At 39.1% G+C, this 18,281-nt stretch overlaps 3 annotated features.

Annotated features, from left to right (window-relative positions):
* Nucleotides 14,222-14,391: an enhancer, noted in NCBI's record as "experimental_73803 CRE fragment used in MPRA reporter constructs". NCBI's record gives its function as "activates a minimal promoter by MPRAs in K562 erythroleukemia cells, with activity observed for the introgressed 4:128770063 or rs72616958 variant allele {active_cell/tissue: K562}" and the evidence as "EXISTENCE:reporter gene assay evidence [ECO:0000049][PMID:34662402]".
* Nucleotide 14,306: a transcriptional cis regulatory region, noted in NCBI's record as "Neanderthal adaptively introgressed variant 4:128770063 (GRCh37/hg19 assembly coordinates) or rs72616958 in the experimental_73803 CRE". NCBI's record gives its function as "modulates activity of the experimental_73803 enhancer by MPRAs in K562 erythroleukemia cells {active_cell/tissue: K562}" and the evidence as "EXISTENCE:reporter gene assay evidence [ECO:0000049][PMID:34662402]".
* Nucleotides 16,629-17,170: an enhancer, noted in NCBI's record as "NANOG-H3K27ac hESC enhancer chr4:128767199-128767740 (GRCh37/hg19 assembly coordinates)". NCBI's record gives its function as "activates a minimal SCP1, AML or CMV promoter by ChIP-STARR-seq in naive H9 embryonic stem cells {active_cell/tissue: H9 hESC(naive)}" and the evidence as "EXISTENCE:reporter gene assay evidence [ECO:0000049][PMID:30033119]".

Below are 18,281 nucleotides of genomic sequence, written 5' to 3'. Positions count from 1 at the left end.
TGTCTCTGCCTGGCTTTGGTATCAGGATGATGCTGGCCTCATAAAATGAGTTAGGGAGGATTCCCTCTTTTTCTATTGATTGGAATAGTTTCAGAAGGAATGGTACCAGTTCCTCCTTGTACCTCTGGTAGAATTCAGCTGTGAATCCATCTGGTCCTGGACTCTTTTTGGTTGGTAAGCTATTGATTATTGCCACAATTTCAGAGCCTGTTATTGGTCTATTCAGAGATTCAACTTCTTCCTGGTTTAGTCTTGGGAGGATGTATGTGTCGAGGAATTTATCCATTTCTTCTAGATTTTCTAGTTTATTTGCATAGAGGTGTTTGTAGTATTCTCTGATGGTAGTTTGTATTTCTGTGGGATCGGTGGTGATATCCCCTTTATCATTTTTTATTGTGTCTATTTGATTCTTCTCTCTTTTCTTCTTTAATAGTCTTGCTAGCGGTCTATCAATTTTGTTGATCCTTTCAAAAAATCAGCTCCTGGATTCATTAATTTTTTGAAGGGTTTTTTTTGTGTCTCTATTTCCTTCAGTTCTGCTCTGATTTTAGTTATTTCTTGCCTTCTGCTAGCTTTTGAATGTGTTTGCTCTTGCTTTTCTAGTTCTTTTAGTTGTGATGTTAGGGTGTCAATTTTGGATCTTTCCTGCTTTCTCTTGTGGGCATTTAGTGCTATAAATTTCTCTCTACACACTGCTTTGAATGTGTCCCAGAGATTCTGGTATGTTGTGTCTTTGTTCTCGTTGGTTTCAAAGAACATCTTTATTTCTGCCTTCATTTTGTTCTGTACCCAGTAGTCATTCAGTAGCAGGTTGTTCAGTTTCCATGTAGTTGAGCAGTTTTGAGTGAGTTTCTTAATCCTGAGTTGTAGTTTGATTGCACTGTGGTCTGAGAGACAGTTTGTTATAATTTCTGTCCTTTTACATTTGCTGAGGAGAGCTTTACTTCCAAGTATGTGGTCAATTTTGGAATAGGTGTGGTGTGGTGCTAAAAAAAATGTATATTCTGTTGATCTGGGGTGGAGAGTTCTGTAGATGTCTGTTAGGTCCGCTTGGTGCAGAGCTGAGTTCAATTCCTGGGTATCCTTGTTAACTTTCTGTCTTGTTGATGTGTCTAATGTTGACAGTGGGGTGTTAAAGTCTCCCATTATTATTGTGTTGGAGTCTAAGTCTCTTTGTAGGTCACTAAGGACTTGTTTTATGAATCTGGGTGCTCCTGTATTGGGTGCATATATATTTAGGATAGTTAGCTCTTCTTGTTGAATTAATCGCTTTACCATTATGTAATGGCCTTCTTTGTCTCTTTTGATCTTTGTTGGTTTAAAGTCTGTTTTATCAGAGACTAGGATTGCAACCCCTGCCTTTTTTTTGTTTTCCATTTGCTTGGTAGATCTTCCTCCATCCTTTTATTTTGAGCCTATGTGTGTCTCTGCACGTGAGATGGGTTTCCTGAATACAGCACACTGATGTGTCTTGACTCTTTATCCAATTTGCCAGTCTGTGTCTTTTAATTGGAGCATTTAGTCCATTTACATTTAAAGTTAATATTGTTATGTGTGAATTTGATCCTGTCATTATGATGTTAGGTAGTTATTTTGCTCATTAGTTGATGCAGTTTCTTCCTAGTCTCGATGGTCTTTACATTTTGGCATGATTTTGCAGCGGCTGGTACCGGTTGTTCCTTTCCATGTTTAGTGCTTCCTTCGGGAGCTCTTTTAGGGCAGGCCTGGTGGTGACAAAATCTCTCAGCATTTGCTTGTCTGTAAAGTATTTTATTCCTCCTTCACTTGTGAAGCTTAGTTTGGCTGGATATGAAATTCTGGGTTGAAAATTCTTTTCTTTAAGAATGTTGAATATTGGCCCCCACCCTCTCCTGGCTTGTAGAGTTTCTGCCGAGAGATCCACCGTTAGTCTGATGGGCTTCCCTTTGTGAGTAACCCGACCTTTCTCTCTGGCTGCCCTTAACATTTTTTCCTTCATTTCCACTTTGGTGAATCTGACAATTATGTGTCTTGGAGTTGCTCTTCTCGAGGAGTATCTTTGTGGCATTCTCTGTATTACCTGAATGTTGACCTGCCTTGCTAGATTGGGGAAGTTCTCCTGGATAATATCCTGCAGAGTGTTTTCCAGCTTGGTTCCATTCTCTCCATCACTTTCAGGTACACCAATCAGACGTAGATTTGGTCTGTTCACATAGTCCCATATTTCTTGGAGGCTTTGTTCGTTTCCTTTTATTCTTTTTTCTCTAAACTTCCCTTCTTGCTTCATTTCATTCATTTCATCTTCCATCACTGATACCCTTTCTTCCAGTTGATCGCATTGGCTCCTGAGGCTTCTGCATTCTTCACGTAGTTCTCGAGCCTTGGCTTTGAGCTCCAACAGCTCCTTTAAGCACTTCTCTGTATTGGTTATTCTAGTTATACATTCATCTAAATTTTTTTCAAAGTTTTCAATTTCTTTGCCTTTGGTTTGAATTTCCTCCTGTAGCTCGGAGTAGTTTGATCGTCTGAAGCCTTCTTCTCTCAACTCGTCAAAGTCATTCTCTGTCCAGCTTTGTTCCGTTGCTGGAGAGGAACTGTGTTCCTTTGGAGGAGGAGAGGCGCTCTGCTTTTTAGAGTTTCCAGTTTTTCTGCTCTGTTTTTTCTCCATCATTGTGGCTTTATCTACTTTTGGTCTTTGATGATGGTGATGTACAGATGGGTTTTTGGTGTGGATGTCCTTTCTGTTTGTTAGTTTTCCTTCTAACAGACAGGACCCTCAGCTGCAGGTCTGTTAGAGTTTGCTGGAGGTCCACTCCAGACCCTGTTTGCCTGGTTATCAGCAGCAGTGTCTGCAGAACAGCGGATTTTCATGAACCGCGAATGCTGCTGTCTGATCGTTCCTCTGGAAGTTTTGTCTCAGAGAAGTACCCGGCCGTGTGAGGTGTCCGTCTGCCCCTACTGGGGAGTGCCTCCCAGTTAGGCTACTCGGGGGTCAGGGGTCAGGGACCCACTTGAGGAGGCAGTCTGCGTGTTCTCAGATCTCAAGCTGCGTGCTGGGAGAACCACTACTCTCTTCAAAGCTCAGTTGGAAATGCAGAAATCACCCGTCTTCTGCGTCGCTCACGCTGGGAGCTGTAGACTGGAGCTGTTCCTATTTGGCCGTCTTGGCTCCTCCTGACTTTCGTTTTTAATTCTGTTTATGTGGTGTATCACATTTATTGAATTGTGGATATTAAATCATCCCTGCATTCCTGGTATGAAACCCACTTGATCGTAGTGGATTATCTGTTTGATATGCCATTGGACTCTGTTAGCGTTTATTTTGTTGAGGATTTTTGCATCTGTGTTCATCAGGGATATTGGTCTGTAGTTTTTTTTTTTTGTCATGTCTTTTCCTGGTCTTGGTATTAGGGTGATACTGGGTTCATAGAATGGTTTAGGGAGAATTCCCTCTTCCTCTGTCTTTTGGAATAGTGTCATTAGGATTGATACCAGTTCTCCTTGGAATATCTGATAGAATTCAGCTGTGAATCCATCTGGTCATGGACTTTTTTTGTTGGCAAGTTTTTAATTAGCATTTCAATCTCACTTCAATAACAGTGAGATTATTGGTCTGTTCAGAGTTTCTGTTTCTTCCTGGTTTAATCTAGGAGGGTTGTACATTTCCAGGAATTTATCCATCTCCTCGAGGTTTTCTAGTTTATGTGCATAAAGATGTTCATAGTAGCCTTGAATGATCTTTTGTATTTTTGTGATATTGGTTGTAGTATCTCCCATTTTGTTTCTAATTGATCTTATTTGCATCTTCTCTCTTTTCTTGGTTAATCTTGCTAATGGCCTATCGATTTTATTTATCTTTTAAAGAACCAGCTTTTTGTTTCATGTATCTTTTGTATTTTGCGGGGGAGGGGTTTCAAGTTCATTTAGTTTTGGTCTGATCTTGGTTGTTTCTTTTCTTCTGCTGGGTTTGGGTTTGGTTTGTTCTTGTTTCTCTGGCTCCTGAAGTGTGACCTTAGAGTGTCTATTTGTGCTCTTTCAGACTTTCTGATGTAGGCATGCAATGCTATGAACTTTCCTCTTAGCACCACCTTTACTGTATCCCAGTGGTTTTGATAGGTTATGTCACTGTTATTGTTCAATTCAAATAATTTTTCAATTTCTGTCTTAATTTTATTGTTGACCCAACAGTCATTCATAAGAGGTTATTTAATTTCCATGTATTTGAATGGTTTTGCGGGTTCCTTTTGGAGATGATTTCCAATTTTATTCTACTGTGATCTGACAGAGTACTTGCTATAATTTAAATTAAATTTGTTGAGACTTGTTTTGTGGCCTATCATATGGCCTATCTTGGAGAATGTTCCACGTACTGTTGAATAGAATGCATATTCTGCAGTTGTTAGGTAGAATGTTTTGTAAATATCGTTAAGTACATTTGTTTGAGGGTATAGTTTAAGTTCATTGTTTCTTTGTTTACTTTCTGTCTTGATGACCTGTCTAGTCCAGTCAGTGGAGTATTAGAGTCCCCCACTATTACTGTGTTGCCATCTATCTCATTTCTTGGGTCTAGTAGTAATTGTTTTATAAATTTGGTAGTTCCAGTGTTAGGTGCATATATATTTAGGATTGTGATATTTTCCTGTTGGACTAGTCCTTTTATCATTATATAATGTCCCTCTTTGTCTTTTTTAACTGCTGTTGCTTTAAAGTTTGTTTTGTCTAATATAAGAGTAGCTATTCCTGCTCACTTGTGATGTCCATTTGCATAGAATATCTTTTTCCACTCCTTTAACTAAAGTTTATGTGAGTCCTTATGTATTAGGTGAATCTCTTGAAGGGAGCAGATACTTGGTTGGTGAATTCTTACCCATTCTGCAATTTTGTATCTATTAAGTAGAGCATTTAGGCCATTTACATTCAATGTTAGTGTTGAGATGTGAGGTACTATTGTATTCATTGTGCTAGTTGTTGCCTATATATCTTTTTTTTTTTCATTGTGTTGTTGTTTTGTAGGTTCTGTGAGATTTATGCTTTAAAGAGATTCTATTTTGGTATATTTTGGGGATTTGTGTCAAAATTTAGAGCTCTTTTTAGCAGTTCTTGTAGGGCTGGTTTGGTAGTGGCAAATTCTCTCAGCATTTATTTGTCTGGAAAATACTTTATTTTTCCTTCACTTATGAAGCCTAGTTTTGCTGGATACAAAATTATTGGCTGCTAATTGTTTTGTATAAGGAGGCTAAAAGATAGGAACCCCAGTCCCTTCTAGCTTTTGGGTTTCTGCTGATTAATCTGCTGTTAATCTGATAAGTTTTCCTTTATAAGTTACCTGATGCTATTTTCCCACGGATCTTAAGATTCTTTCCTTCATCTTGACTTTAGACAACTTGATGACTATGTGCCTAGATAATGATCTTTTTGCAATGCATTTTCTGGGTGTTCTTTGAATAGTGGTTTTCCTGTATGTCCTAATTATTGTCAGTTTGATTCCATTCCATATACATCATTCCTTCCTTTTTAACAGAATCCCAATTTTTTGAGGAAAAGTAACATACAAGGTGAGAAACTAAATTTTTGAGCTTACTTTGCAGATACAGGTAGCCTTGACACTAAGTTCTGGGCAAAGCACATGTGTCACAGTTACTGTGTGAAGGTTCTAGGAATGTTTTCTTGTTGTTGTTTGTTTGTTTTCATTTGCATGGTGAATAGGCCTCTTTTGTTCTTCCCCCTTTATGAGGATTTTTTTCCTGGAATGTGGATATTAATGCTTTATAAAAGAAATTACTTAAAATACTAGGCCAGTGAAAATTAATAAAGAGGAAGTGGAAGAATGATTATCTGTCAAGCTGTCTGATGTCAAGGTGGTTAATGAGGACAGTGATCCAAACTGAAAGTAGCCTTCAAAACTTTATTCACTTGCTACGATAGTTCAGGCAACAGACAAAGAAAAAGTGCCAGCTCCTCAGTGTTTCATTTCACTCCATGCAATGGCATTGGGTGAGGGCCAGTCCGATGACAGGCAAGGCAGGTGGGTGGGTAGAGAATGCCTCACTGCTGAAAAGCACTGAACAAAAGGCTTCTGCCATTTATGGACCTACGCTAGGTCTACAGGGAGGAAAAGGGAAGGGCTAGCAGTGGAAAAGTACTGGGTCAAAGGGGAAAAGTGTCTTAGTCAGGGGCCCCTTACAAGGACATCTCCGTGGAGGCACCCACCTTTTAAGGAGGTCTCTGAGTGGAGGCACCTGGATTAAGCCTGCTGAATGTATAAGCAATGATGGCCCTAGGCAGGGGTTGGGAGCTGAGTACTTGTCTGCAGCTGTCCAGAGACTACAGTGCATTGACTGTGCATCAAATCTGATGTGGGTAGGGCAGTTTTCCCCCATGAGGCCTCCTAAGCAAAACTTGTGGTTGGACTTGAAGTGTCACACACAGGAATTTGGCCTGGAACCAGACTCCTCATTACCAAGTAAGGAGGAATTTAAAGTTAAAAGGAATAACAAGCATAAAAAAGGATGTTACATAATGATAGAAGTCACAACTGATTAAAAAGATCTTATAAATCCCTTTGAGACAGAGCAGGGACCCCTCTTAGTGGCTTATAACTCCCCTACCTTGAAAGCATGAAAATAAAGGAAAATCTTGAGTTCCTTCAAGGGAAATTCCAGATACCTAGTGAACTCTGAGCAGTAAATGAGCAACTTCAAAAGCAAGGTTATAGTAGCTTAAAAATGATATCAAGGTAGTTAGAGTCATAAGATATTTTGTTCCATATAGAAACTAAAGATAAAATCTTAACATGTGTCCCTGAATTACTTTTCAGAAACCTGTACCCCTGCCAAATGGATGCACTGGCACATACATAGACCTCAGATAAGGGGGAAACAGAGGACTGAACTCTGACTACCCTTCCTTGTTCTAAAATTCTTCTTGAGGGGCTTGGAGGAAGTCACACCCATGAGGCAGTGCTAATTCTTTTCTGCTGACCTGAAATTTTTAAACAAAGCTTCTCTTTCTTAACCATTTACAAATCAGAAAATCTTTGAATTTACCTAAGATCTGTAAGACCCCATTTTAAGATATTCAGCCTCTTTAGGTCAAACCAATGTATAACCTCCACATATGGATTTATGACTTTGCCCATCACCTCTGTCTCTCTACCTTTAAAAACCCTTACTTGTAAGCCGTTGGGGAATTCAGGTCTTAGCATGAGCTACCTAATTCTCTTTGCTTGGTGCCCTGCAAATAAATGCCTCACTTTCTTTCTTTCTTTTTTTTTTGAGACGGAGTCTCTCTCTGTCGCCCAGGCTGGAGTGCTGTGGCGCGATCTCGGCTCAATGCAAACTTTGCCTCCAGGGTTCAAGCAATTCTTCTGCCTCAGCCTCCCAAGTAACTGGGATCATAGGTGTGCACCACCATGCCTGGCTAATTTTTGTAGTTTTAGTAGAGATGGGGTTTCGCCATGTTGGACACACTTGTCTCAAACTCGTGACTTCAGGTGATCTGCCTGCCTCAGCCTCCCAAAGTGCTGGGATTACAGGCGTGAGCTACTGTGCCTGGCCAAATGCCTCACTTTCTCTCACTGCAGCCCTGATGTCAGAGTTTGGCTTTGCAGTGCTGCATAGGCAGGCCCAGGTTTGATTCGGTAATACTTTGAACCAAAAACTATAGTGGTTAAATACACAAAAGTATTAGAAATTCAAGAACATGATTTTTTAAAAAAGCATCTATAGTGGGAGATAGCATTATAACTGTGATACATATGGAATTAAATTTTAACAGGCTTGTGTATATATACAAGTATACACACACCTGTGTGGATATATGTCTATGTGTGGATATATGTCTGTAAGTATGTAAACATATATGGCAACTGTCTCAAACTAGTTTAGTAGCATTTTATTTTTGTTGCTGCCAAGGAAGACAACCATCTGAGATAAAATGTGCTTTTCAACTCAGGATCTGGTTTTGGTAAAAGGCGAAAGATTTATGTGATCTGAAGAGAAACCAGAGTATAGGAACTGGTTTTGGTTAGGTACTTTTTAGAACATTATTTGTTGTCATGAATTATAGTTCTCATATTGTGATCAATAACTAATATGTTTAATATTCATTTAGATTTACTCTCATATTTATTTGTGTTTTCTGGTGTAGTCTTTTTCTTGCATTTTCCTTCTGTTTGAAGAATTCCCTATTAGTATTATTTTTGGTGCATATTTGGTAAGAACCAAAGAGTTTTTATATGAGAGAGTATTTTGTGTTCATTTCTGAAGGGTATTTTCACTGGGTATAGAATTCTAGGTTAATAGATATTTTCCCTTTTTCTTCACTACTTGAAGTAGTGGACATTTCATTCTTTTGTCTCTTGGAGTTCATCATTTACATTGAAAATCAGCCATTAACTAGTCTTATTGCTCTGTAGAGGAGAAATGGTCTTTTTCTCCTTTTCAACAGTTTTACAACTCTCTTTCTTTTTGTTGTTGTTGTTGAGATGGAGTCTCGCTCTGTTGGCCAGGCTGGAGTGCAGTGGCATGATCTCGGCTCACTGCAACCTCCACCTCCCAGGTTCAAGCGATTCTCCTGCCTCAGCATCCTGAGTAGCTGGGATTACAGGTGCCCGCCACCATGCCTGGCTAATTTTTTGTATTTTTAGTAGAGACGGGGTTAGCCAGGATAGTCTCGATCTCTTGACCTTTTGATCTGCCCGCCTCGGCCTCCCAAATTGCTGGGATTACAGGCGTGAGCCACCACACCTGGCCCTACAACTCTCTTAAAACAAAAGATGGCCATCGTATTGGGGCTTTGTGATCAAGGAGGAAAGAAGTAAAAGGTGAGGTCAAAGAGTTAATGGTACAAATCATGTAGACCTTACAGGTTATGGTAAAGACTTTGGATTTTATTTTGAGTGCTATGGGAAGCCATGGAGTGTTCTAACCAGAAAAGCAGCATGTATCTGATGAAAGTTTTGAAAACATCAAATTTGAATTCCATATTGGGAATAGATGTTAGGAAGGCCAGTTAGTGCATTGTAATAATCATGTAGGTGAGAGATGGTGGTGGTTTAGACTAAGGAGTGGTATAAAACTATTTTAAAATCATAAAAGAGTAATCAAATAGTTTTTCAGTATTTGTTATTATAATAATATATGTTTTCCTTCGTTAGTCTGTTGATATGGGGAATGATGTAGATTTTTTAACAATAAACCATCCTTGCATTCTGGGGATACCACCAATTTGATAGTATACTTTTTATATATTAGTGAATTCGGTTTGCTAGAATTTAGAAATTTATAATTTATTATGTCTATGTTCATGAGCAAGTTTAGAAAAATACTTTTGTTATTTATACCAAACTTTTCTGGTTTGATATCAAGAGTATACAATGAAACTGGCTTTATATGAGGAGTTGGGAAGTATTCTTTTCCAAGTTTCTATAGCATTTTAAGTTCAAAAGGACTTATTTATTCCTAGAATATTTGTTTGTTAAAACTATAAGGGAATGGTATATTTTTAATAGGTAGATTTTAAACTCAAAATCAATTTCTTTAATGCTTATATGTGTACTTACCTTCATCAAATTTGCTAGAGGCTTGTCTGTTTTTTAAAATACATATATATTATTATTATTTTTTTTTTTTAAATTTTATTTTATGGCCAGATGCAGTGGCTCACACCTGTAATCTCAGCACTTTGGGAGGCCGAGGCAGGCAGATCGCTTGAGCCCAGGCATTTGAGACCAGTGTGGGCAATATGGTGAAACTTTGTCTCTACTAAAAATACAAAAGAATTAGCCAGGCAAGGTGGCACATGCCTGTAGTCCCAGCTACTTGGGAGGCTAAGGATGGAGGATCACTTGAGCTCAGGAGGTCAAGGCTGCAGTGAGTCAAGATCGCACCGCAACACTCCAGTCTGAGCAGTGGATTTAAGCCCTGTCTGAATTTTTTTTTTTTTTTTTTTTTTAGATTTAGGGGTTACATGTAGATGTTTGTTGCTTACTGGTGGGGATTGGGCTTCTAGTTATACCCATTACTTGAATAGTGAACATTGTACCTGATAATGAAGTGGCATTGTTTATCTGGGGGAAATACCTGAAGTTCGTTGTTTCACGCTAAGGAAATTGAAGATGCAGACACACACAAAGTGGCTTTAACAGTGGAAAGTTTAATACATGAAAGAAAGAAGAGACAGCTTCCTCATGCAGAGGAAGGGGGCCCAAGTGGGTTTCTGAGTTTGGGGCAAAATGTGGTTGGTTTTATAGATGAGCTTCAGGAGGCAGTATTTGATTTATATAGGGTCCAGAGGATTGGTTGGACCAGGTGTGCTATTTACATAGAATGTGAGGCAGCTGGCCTTCCCACCCTAATCTTTTACTATGCAGATAGGGTCTCTGCCTGGCTGGTGCCATGACACTTGCACACGTGGTGACAAAGAAAAAGGAGGAGAAAACCTCCATGTTGAATATACCTGGCTTTCAGGTATCCCTTTTCTGTTGGCACAGCTGCAGGCATTCACCTATGCAAGCTTCCACCTTGCTTATCTATGCTTGCAGCTTGACTTTTTAAAAAGGCTGCTTTTTGTTAGAAAAGAAATGATTTGGGGGCTGCTTTTTTATTAAAAGAAAATTCCACTGAGATCTCTTCTACCCTTACTAACTGCCTAAATAACTCCCTTTTAGCTCCTATATCAATAGGTTATTTTTCAGTCCTCCCCATCTCCCACCCTCTCCCCTTCTGGAGTCCCCAGTGTCTATTATTTACATCCTTATGTCCATATATTTAGCTCCCACTTATAAGTGAGAAAATGTGTTATTTGGTTTTCTGTTTTTGAGTTAGTTCACTTAAGATAATGGCTTCCAGCTTCATCTATGTTGCTTCAAAGGACTTGATTTCATTCTTTGTTATGGCTGCATTAGTATTCCATGGTGTATATATACCACATTTTACTTATCCAGTCAATCATTGATTGACACTTAGGGCAGTTCTATGACTTTGCTATTGTGAATAGTGCCAGATGAACATGTGAGTACAGGTGTCTTTTTTTTTTTTATACAATGATTTCCTTTCCTTTGGGTAGATACCCAGTAGTGGGATTGCTAGATTGAAGGGTAGTTCTATTTTTAGTTCTTTGAGAAATCTCCATGCTGTTTTCCATAGAGGTTAAACTATTTTATGCCCATCAATAGTGTATAAGCCTTTCCTTTTCTCTGCATCCTCTCCAACATCTGTTATATTTTGACTTTTTAGTAATAGCCATTCTGACTGATATGAGATGGTATCTCATTGTGGTTTTAATTTGTATTTCCTGATGACTAGTGATGTTGAGCATTTTTTATGTTTGTTGGTTACTTGTATGTCTTTTTTGAGAAGTGTCTGCTCATGTCCTTTGCCCACTTTTTAATGGTATTTTTTTTCTTGTTGATTTAAGTTCCTTACACATTCTGAATATTAGTCCTTTGCTGGAGGCATAATACAAATGTTTTCTCCCATTTTGTAGGTTGTCTGTCTGCTCTGTTGATTTTTTCCTGTGTAGAAGCTCTTTTGTTTAATTAAATCTCATTTGTCTATTTGTAAAAATTTTGTTCCATTTGCTTTCAGGTCTTCATCATAAATTCTTTGCCTAGGCTAATGTCCAGAATGTTTAGGCCAATGTTTTTCTCCTAGGTTTTCTTCTAAGATTTTTTTAGTTGGGTGTGGTGGCTCATGCCTGTAATCCCAGCACTTGGGGAGGCCAAGGCAGGTGGATGACCTGAGGTCAGGAGTTCGAGACCAGCCTGGCTAACATGGTGAAACCCCATTCCTACTAAAAATACAACAAATTAGCCAGGCATAGTGGCGCATGCCTGTAATCCCAGCTACTTGGGAGGCTGAGGCAGGAGAATCGCTTGAACTCAGGAGGGGGAGGTTGAAGTTAGTCGAGATCGCACCATTGCACTCAAGCTTGGGCAAGAAGAGCAAAAACTCCGTTTTCAAAAAAAAAAACAGGAAAAAACCCCCCCCCAAAAAAGTTTTTTTTTGTTTCAGGTGTTGTATTTAAGTCTTCAGTCCATCTTAATTTTTATATATGGTGAGAAATAGGGGTCCAGTTTCATTCTTCTGCACATGGCAAGCCATTTTTCCCAGCACCATTTATTGAATAGGGTGTCCTTTCTCCATTATTAATTTGTGTTGACTGTGTCAAAGATCAATTGATTATAGGTATGTGGCTTTGTTTCTGGGTCCTTTATTCTGTTCCATTGATCTATGTGTCTATTTTTGTACCAGTACCATGCTATTTTAGTTACTATAGCCTTATAGTATAATTTGAAGTCAGGCAATGTGATTCCTCTGGCTTTTTTCTTTTGGCTTAGGATTTCTTTGGCTATTTGCCCTCTTTTTGGTTCCATATGAACTTAGGATTTTTTTTTTTTTTTTTTTTTACAATTTTGTGAAAAAATGATGTTAGTAATTTGATAGAGATTACATTAAATCTGCAGATTGCTTTGGACACTATGGTCATTTTAATGATACTGATTCTTCCAATCCATGAGCATGGGATTTTTTCCATTTGTGTCATGTATTTCATTCATTCATTAGTGTTTTGTAGTTCTCCTTGTAGAGATCTTCACCTCCTTGGTTAGATGTACTCTGAGGTATTTGTGTGTGCGTGTGTCTATTGTAAATGGGATTGTGTTCTTGATTTGGCACTCAGCTTCAAAATTGTTAGTGTGTAGAAATGTTACTGATTTTGACATGTTGATTTTGTATCCTGAAACTTTACTTAAGTTGTTTATCAAGACTAGGAGTCTTTTGGAGGAATCTTTAGGGTTTTCTAGATATGTAATCATGGCCAGTGAATAGAGATAATTTGATTTCCTCTTTTCCTATTTTGATGTCTTTTTATTTCTTTCTCTTGCTTGATTGCTGTGTCCAGGATTTCCTGTACTATATTAAATAGCAGTGGTGATAGTGGATATCATTGTCTGGTTCAGTTCTTAAAGGGAATGTTTGCAAATTTTCCCTGTTAAGTATGATATTGGCTGTGGGTTTGTAAAACATGGCTCTTATTATTTTGAGGTGTGTTCCCCTGATGCCTAGTGTGTTGAGGGGTTTTATCATAAGGGGATGTTGGATTTTATTGAGTGCCTTTTCTGCATCTATTGATATGAGCATATGGTTTTTGTTTTTAGTTCTGTTTATATGGTGAATCTCATTTATTGATTTGCAAATATTGAACCATCCTTGCATTCCTGGAATAAAACCTACTTGATCATGATGAATTATTTTTTTGATATGCAGCTGGATTCTGTTTGCTACTCTTTCATTGAGGATTTTCACATCTGTGTTCTTCAGGGCTATTGGCCTATTGTTTCCTTTTTCTGTTTTGTCTTTGCCTGATTTTACTATCAGGGTGATAGTGGTTTCATAGAATAAGTTAGGGAGAAATTCTTCTTCCTTGATTTTTCAAAATAGTTTCAGCAAGATCAGTATCAGCTCTTCTTTGTACAGTCAGTAAAACTTGGCGGTGAATCTCTCTAGTCTTGGGCTTTTCATTGTTGTTGTTATTGTTGGGAGATTTGTTATTACTGATTCAATTTCATTATTCATTACTGGTCTGGTTCAGGATGTCTCTTTCTTCCTGCTTCAATCTTGGAAGGTTGTATGTTGCCAGGAATTTATTCATTTCCTGTGGGTTTTCTGCTTTGTGTGCAGAGAGGTGTTCATAGTCTCTGATGATTTTTTTTTTTTTTTTTTGAGTCAGGGTCTCACTTTGTCACCCAGGCTAGAGTGCAGTGGTGAGATCTTGCCTCACTGCAACCTCTGCCTCCTGGGCTCAAGTAATCCTCCTGCCCCAGACCCCCAAGTAGCTGGGACTAAAGGCATGCATCACCATGCCTGGCTATTTTTTTTTTTTTTTTTGTATTTTTTTTTAGAGACAGGGTTTTGCCATGTTGCCCAGGCTGGTCTCGAACTCCTAAGCTCAGGCAATCCATGTGCCTTGGCCTCCCATAGTGCTAGGATTACAGGCATGAGCCACCACATCCAGCCCTCTGGTGATCTTTTCTGTTTCTGTGGTGTCAGTTGTAATGTCACCTTTATCGTTTCTGACTATACTAATTTGAATCTTCTCTCTTTTTTTCTTAGTCTAGCTAACCATCTGTCAGTTTTGCATATCCTTTCAAAGAACCAGCTTTTGTTTTGTTGATCCTTTGTATCATTTTTTTGGTCTCAGTCTCATTTAGTTCTGCTCTGATATTTGCCATTTATTTTCTTCTGCTAGCTTTGGGTTTTGTTTGTTCTTGTTTTTCAGGTTCCTTGAGGTTCAACATTAAATTTTATTTGAGATCTTTCTGTCAAGATGTAGGCATTTCACACTATAAACTGTGTCTTAGTACTGCTTTTGCTGTATTCCAGAGAGTTGGTATGTTGTGTCTCTATTTGCATTCGTTTTGAAAATTTTTTTGATTTCTGCTTTAATTTCATTGTTTGTCCAAAGATCATTCAGGAACAAGTTGTTTGGTTCCCATGTACTTGTGTGGCTTTTTAGAGTTCCTTTTGGTATTGACTTTCTTCTCTCTTTCTTTCTTTCTCTCTCTCTCTTTTCTTTCCCATTTTCTTTCTCTCTCTCCCTCTCCTTCTCTCCCTCTCCCTCTCTCCCTCTCCCTCTCTCCTTCTTTTCTTTTTTTCAATGGAGTCTCACTCTTATCACCCAGGCTGGAGTGCAATGGCACGATCTCAGTTCACTGCAACCTCCACCTCCCAGGTTCAAGCAATTCTTCTGCCTTAGCCTCCCGAGTAGCTGGGATTATAGGCACCTCCCACCACACTGGGCTAATTTTTTTTGTGTATTTTTAGTAGAGACGGAGTTTCACCATGTTGGCCAGGCTGGTCTTGAACTCCTGACCTCAGGTTATCCCCTTCCTTGGCCTCCCAAAGTGCTGGGATTACAGGCATGAGCCACCATGCCTGGGCTGGTATTGATTTCTAATTTTATTCCACTGTGGTTCAAGAAGATACTTGATCTCTGTTTGTTTTGTTTTGTTTTGTTTTTCTGAGACTTGCTTTAAGGCCCAGCACATGGTCAGTTTTGGAAAATGTTCCATATGCAGATAAGTATATATATATTCTGCAGTTGTTGGATAGAATGTTCTGTAAATGTCTATTAGGTCCATTAGGTCTGCAGTCCAGTTTAAGTCCAGAGATTCTTTGCTGATTTTCTGCCTTGATGATTTGTCTAGTGATGTCAGTGGGATGAAGTCCCCCATTATTATTGTATTTCTATCAAATTGTTTTCTTAGTTCAAGTAGTATTTGCTTGATGAGGCTGGGTGCTCCTGTATTGTATGCATATATATTTAATTAGGTTAAATCTTCTTGTTGTTTTGAACACTTCAGCATTATATAGTGCCCCTCTTTGTCTTTTTTTTTTTTTTTTGCTTTTGTTGGATTAAAGTCTGTTTTTTCTAATATGAGAATGGCTATTTCTGCTTGCTTTTGCATCTTTTCAGTGGAATATTTAGTCCATTTACATTCCAAGTTAATATTGATATGTGAGGTTTTTTTCTGTCATAGTGTTGTTAGCTAGTTGCCATGGAGTTTCAATTATGTCACTGCTTTATAGGATCTGTGAGTTTTGTACTTACGTGTTCTTTTGTGGTGGTGCATATTGCCCTTTTGTTTCCATGTTTAGAACTTCTTTGAGCATTTTTTGCAGGACTGGTCTACTGATGACAAATTTCCTTTGCATTTGTTTGTCTGGGAAAGACTATTTCTCCTTCACTTATAAAACTTGGTTTGGTAGGATATAAAATACTTGGCTAGCATTTTTTTTTTTTCTTTAAGGAGGCTAAAAATAGGCCCCCAGTCTCTTCTGGCTTGTAGGGTTTCTGCTGATAAATCTGCTATCAGTATGATGGAATTTTCTTTATAGGTGATTAGACTTTTCTCTCTTGCCAGTCTTAGAATTTTTTCCTTCTTGTTAACTTTGGATAGTCTGATGACTGTATGCCTTGGTGAAGTTCTTCTGGCAATGTATCTTCCAGGAGTTCTCTGAGTGTCTTATATCTGGATGTCTAAATGTCTCCCATGGCTAGGGAAGTTTTCTTGAATTATTTTCTCAAATAGGTTTTCCATACTTTTTACTTTTTCTTTTTTTTTTCTGGAATATCTACGACTCATATTTCTTGAAGGCCTTATTTTTAAAAATTCTTTTAAATTTTTGTCTGTTTAGTCTAATTAGAAGGGCCTGTCTTTCAGCTGTCAAATTCTTTCTTCCACTTGGTCTAGACTGTTGTTAAAGATTTCAACTGTATTTTGTAATTCCTTCAATTAATTTCTCATTTCCTAAAGTTCTGTTTGGGTTTTTAAAATGATGTCTCAGCTTTCATATCCTGAATTGTTTTTCTGATTTCTTTGTGTTGGTTTTCAGCTTTCTCTTGAATCTCATTGAACTTCTGTAAAAATCTACTTTGATTTTTTTTTTTTTTTTTTTTTTTGAGACAGGGTCTTGCTGTGTCACACTAGGCTGGAGTACTTTGAGTTCTTTATCTAGTATTTCAAAGAGTTCATTTTGGTTGGGATCTGTTGTTGGAGAGTTAGCATAATCCTTTGAGGGTGTTGGTCTTTTTGTTTTGTTTTGTTTTGTTTAAATTACTTTCAGTGTTGTTTCTCTGGTTCTTTCTCACTGGATAAGCTATCTCTCCTTATATTTTTTTAACTTGCTTTCATTTGGACAGGATTTGTTTCTCCCTTGAAGGGATGTCTATAATGTATTTTGTGTAGGGTGCTTTGGTTTTGGTTCTGGGTGCTTTTGGTGGCAGAGTCTAAGTTGCCTGGTTATAGATAGTTTTTGTATGGTGGCTTTTCCAAACACTGTAGCAGCAAGGTACTGGGCATATGAGCAGGCTCATTGGCTCCTGTGTGGCTGGGGTGGAGGAGGTGTTAGGAAGCTTATCTTATTCTCCACAGGGTTGCATGCTTGTGTCAGCAGATTTCCTATTGTGTTATTCCATTTAACCTCCAGGCCAGTAGGTGATGCTTATGGTAAGAGTCAGTTGTGGCTGATGCAGTTGGGTATATACTTGATCCTTCTTTACTGGGAGAAACCCTCTGTTGCCTCAGGCATGGGCTATGGAATGTACAGTGGTCTGAGTTCCCTGATAAGACCTGGAGAAGGGGAAAGATGGGTGGGACTAGACTGGGCAGGCCTGCCTACAGGTTCTCCAATGGCAGCAACAGGCACCAGCTCCAAGTGGGTGGGGGGTTTCCAGTGGGTGGATCTCCACTGACCCAAGGTCTCTGCATGGGAAAGAGGGGCAATCTAACCTCCTAATCTAGGAGTGGGTGCTCCAAATGCCTGAAGATATGACCAAGCAGTGAGTGGTTAGAGCATGACTGCAACCAAGATCTGTGCACCTGAAGGGGTGGGATGGCTCAGGCTCCTAATCCAGGTGAGTGGGTGAGCCAAATGCCTAGAAATATGTCCCAGCAAGGAGCTGAGAAACTGCTGCTGCAACAAAGACATTGCAGGGGATGGGAGGGGTAGCTCAACCTCCTAATTCGGGGAAGCAGGTGTGCCTCAAGCAGTTACAGGTAGTTAAACAGGCATGAGTGGGGCAGGAAAGGGATCTCCTGCAAACCCACTAGGAATGCTGGGTGATGGTTTGGCAATTATTGCATTGCCTATCTAAAAGTGATATGTTGGCAGCTGGTGCCAGTGAGAGGCCATTTCCTGATGGTCCACACCTGTTGCCCTGAAGTGTTAACTGAATGCAGATGCCAGGGAGAAGCAGAAGGGCATGCATATTAAGAGATAAAATGGCAGAGTAGGATGTTCCAGGGGCACTCCACTGGAAAAAGGAAGAAAGCCTCAGATGGGCATACATACAACTTCCTAAACACACTGCATGTGTTCACCTCCCAAGCAAAAGGAGGGTGCTGTGCATGCAAGCAGCCCATTCTAAGGGAAGAGTCATGGGAAAGAGGTGAGCCTATAAAGTAGGATCACAGTTAAATGTCACACTTGACCTTCAGGTGCCAACTTGGGTCTCTTCCAAGTGAACTTTCCTTTCCTTCCTGTTCTAAAGCCTTTCTAAATAAACTTCCACTCCTGCTCTGGAACTTGCCTTGGTCTCTTTTTCTGCTTTATGTCCGTCAGTCAAATTCTTTCTTCTGAGGATGCAAGAATTGAAGTTGCTGCAGACCTGTATGGATTTGTTGCCGGTAACTCAGATACCTCCCACTGGTAACAAAACCAGATATAGATAAGCCCAGGGCAGGAGCAGAGAAACTGCTACCACAAGAGGGAAAGCAGGGGTGACTCAAACTCCTAATC

The sequence above is a fragment of the Homo sapiens genome, chromosome 4 (assembly GCF_000001405.40).
Source record: "Homo sapiens chromosome 4, GRCh38.p14 Primary Assembly".
Classification (NCBI taxonomy): Eukaryota; Metazoa; Chordata; class Mammalia; order Primates; family Hominidae; genus Homo; species Homo sapiens.
Note: the sequence above shows the minus strand (reverse complement) of the source record. Positions and strands in the feature narration are given on the sequence as shown.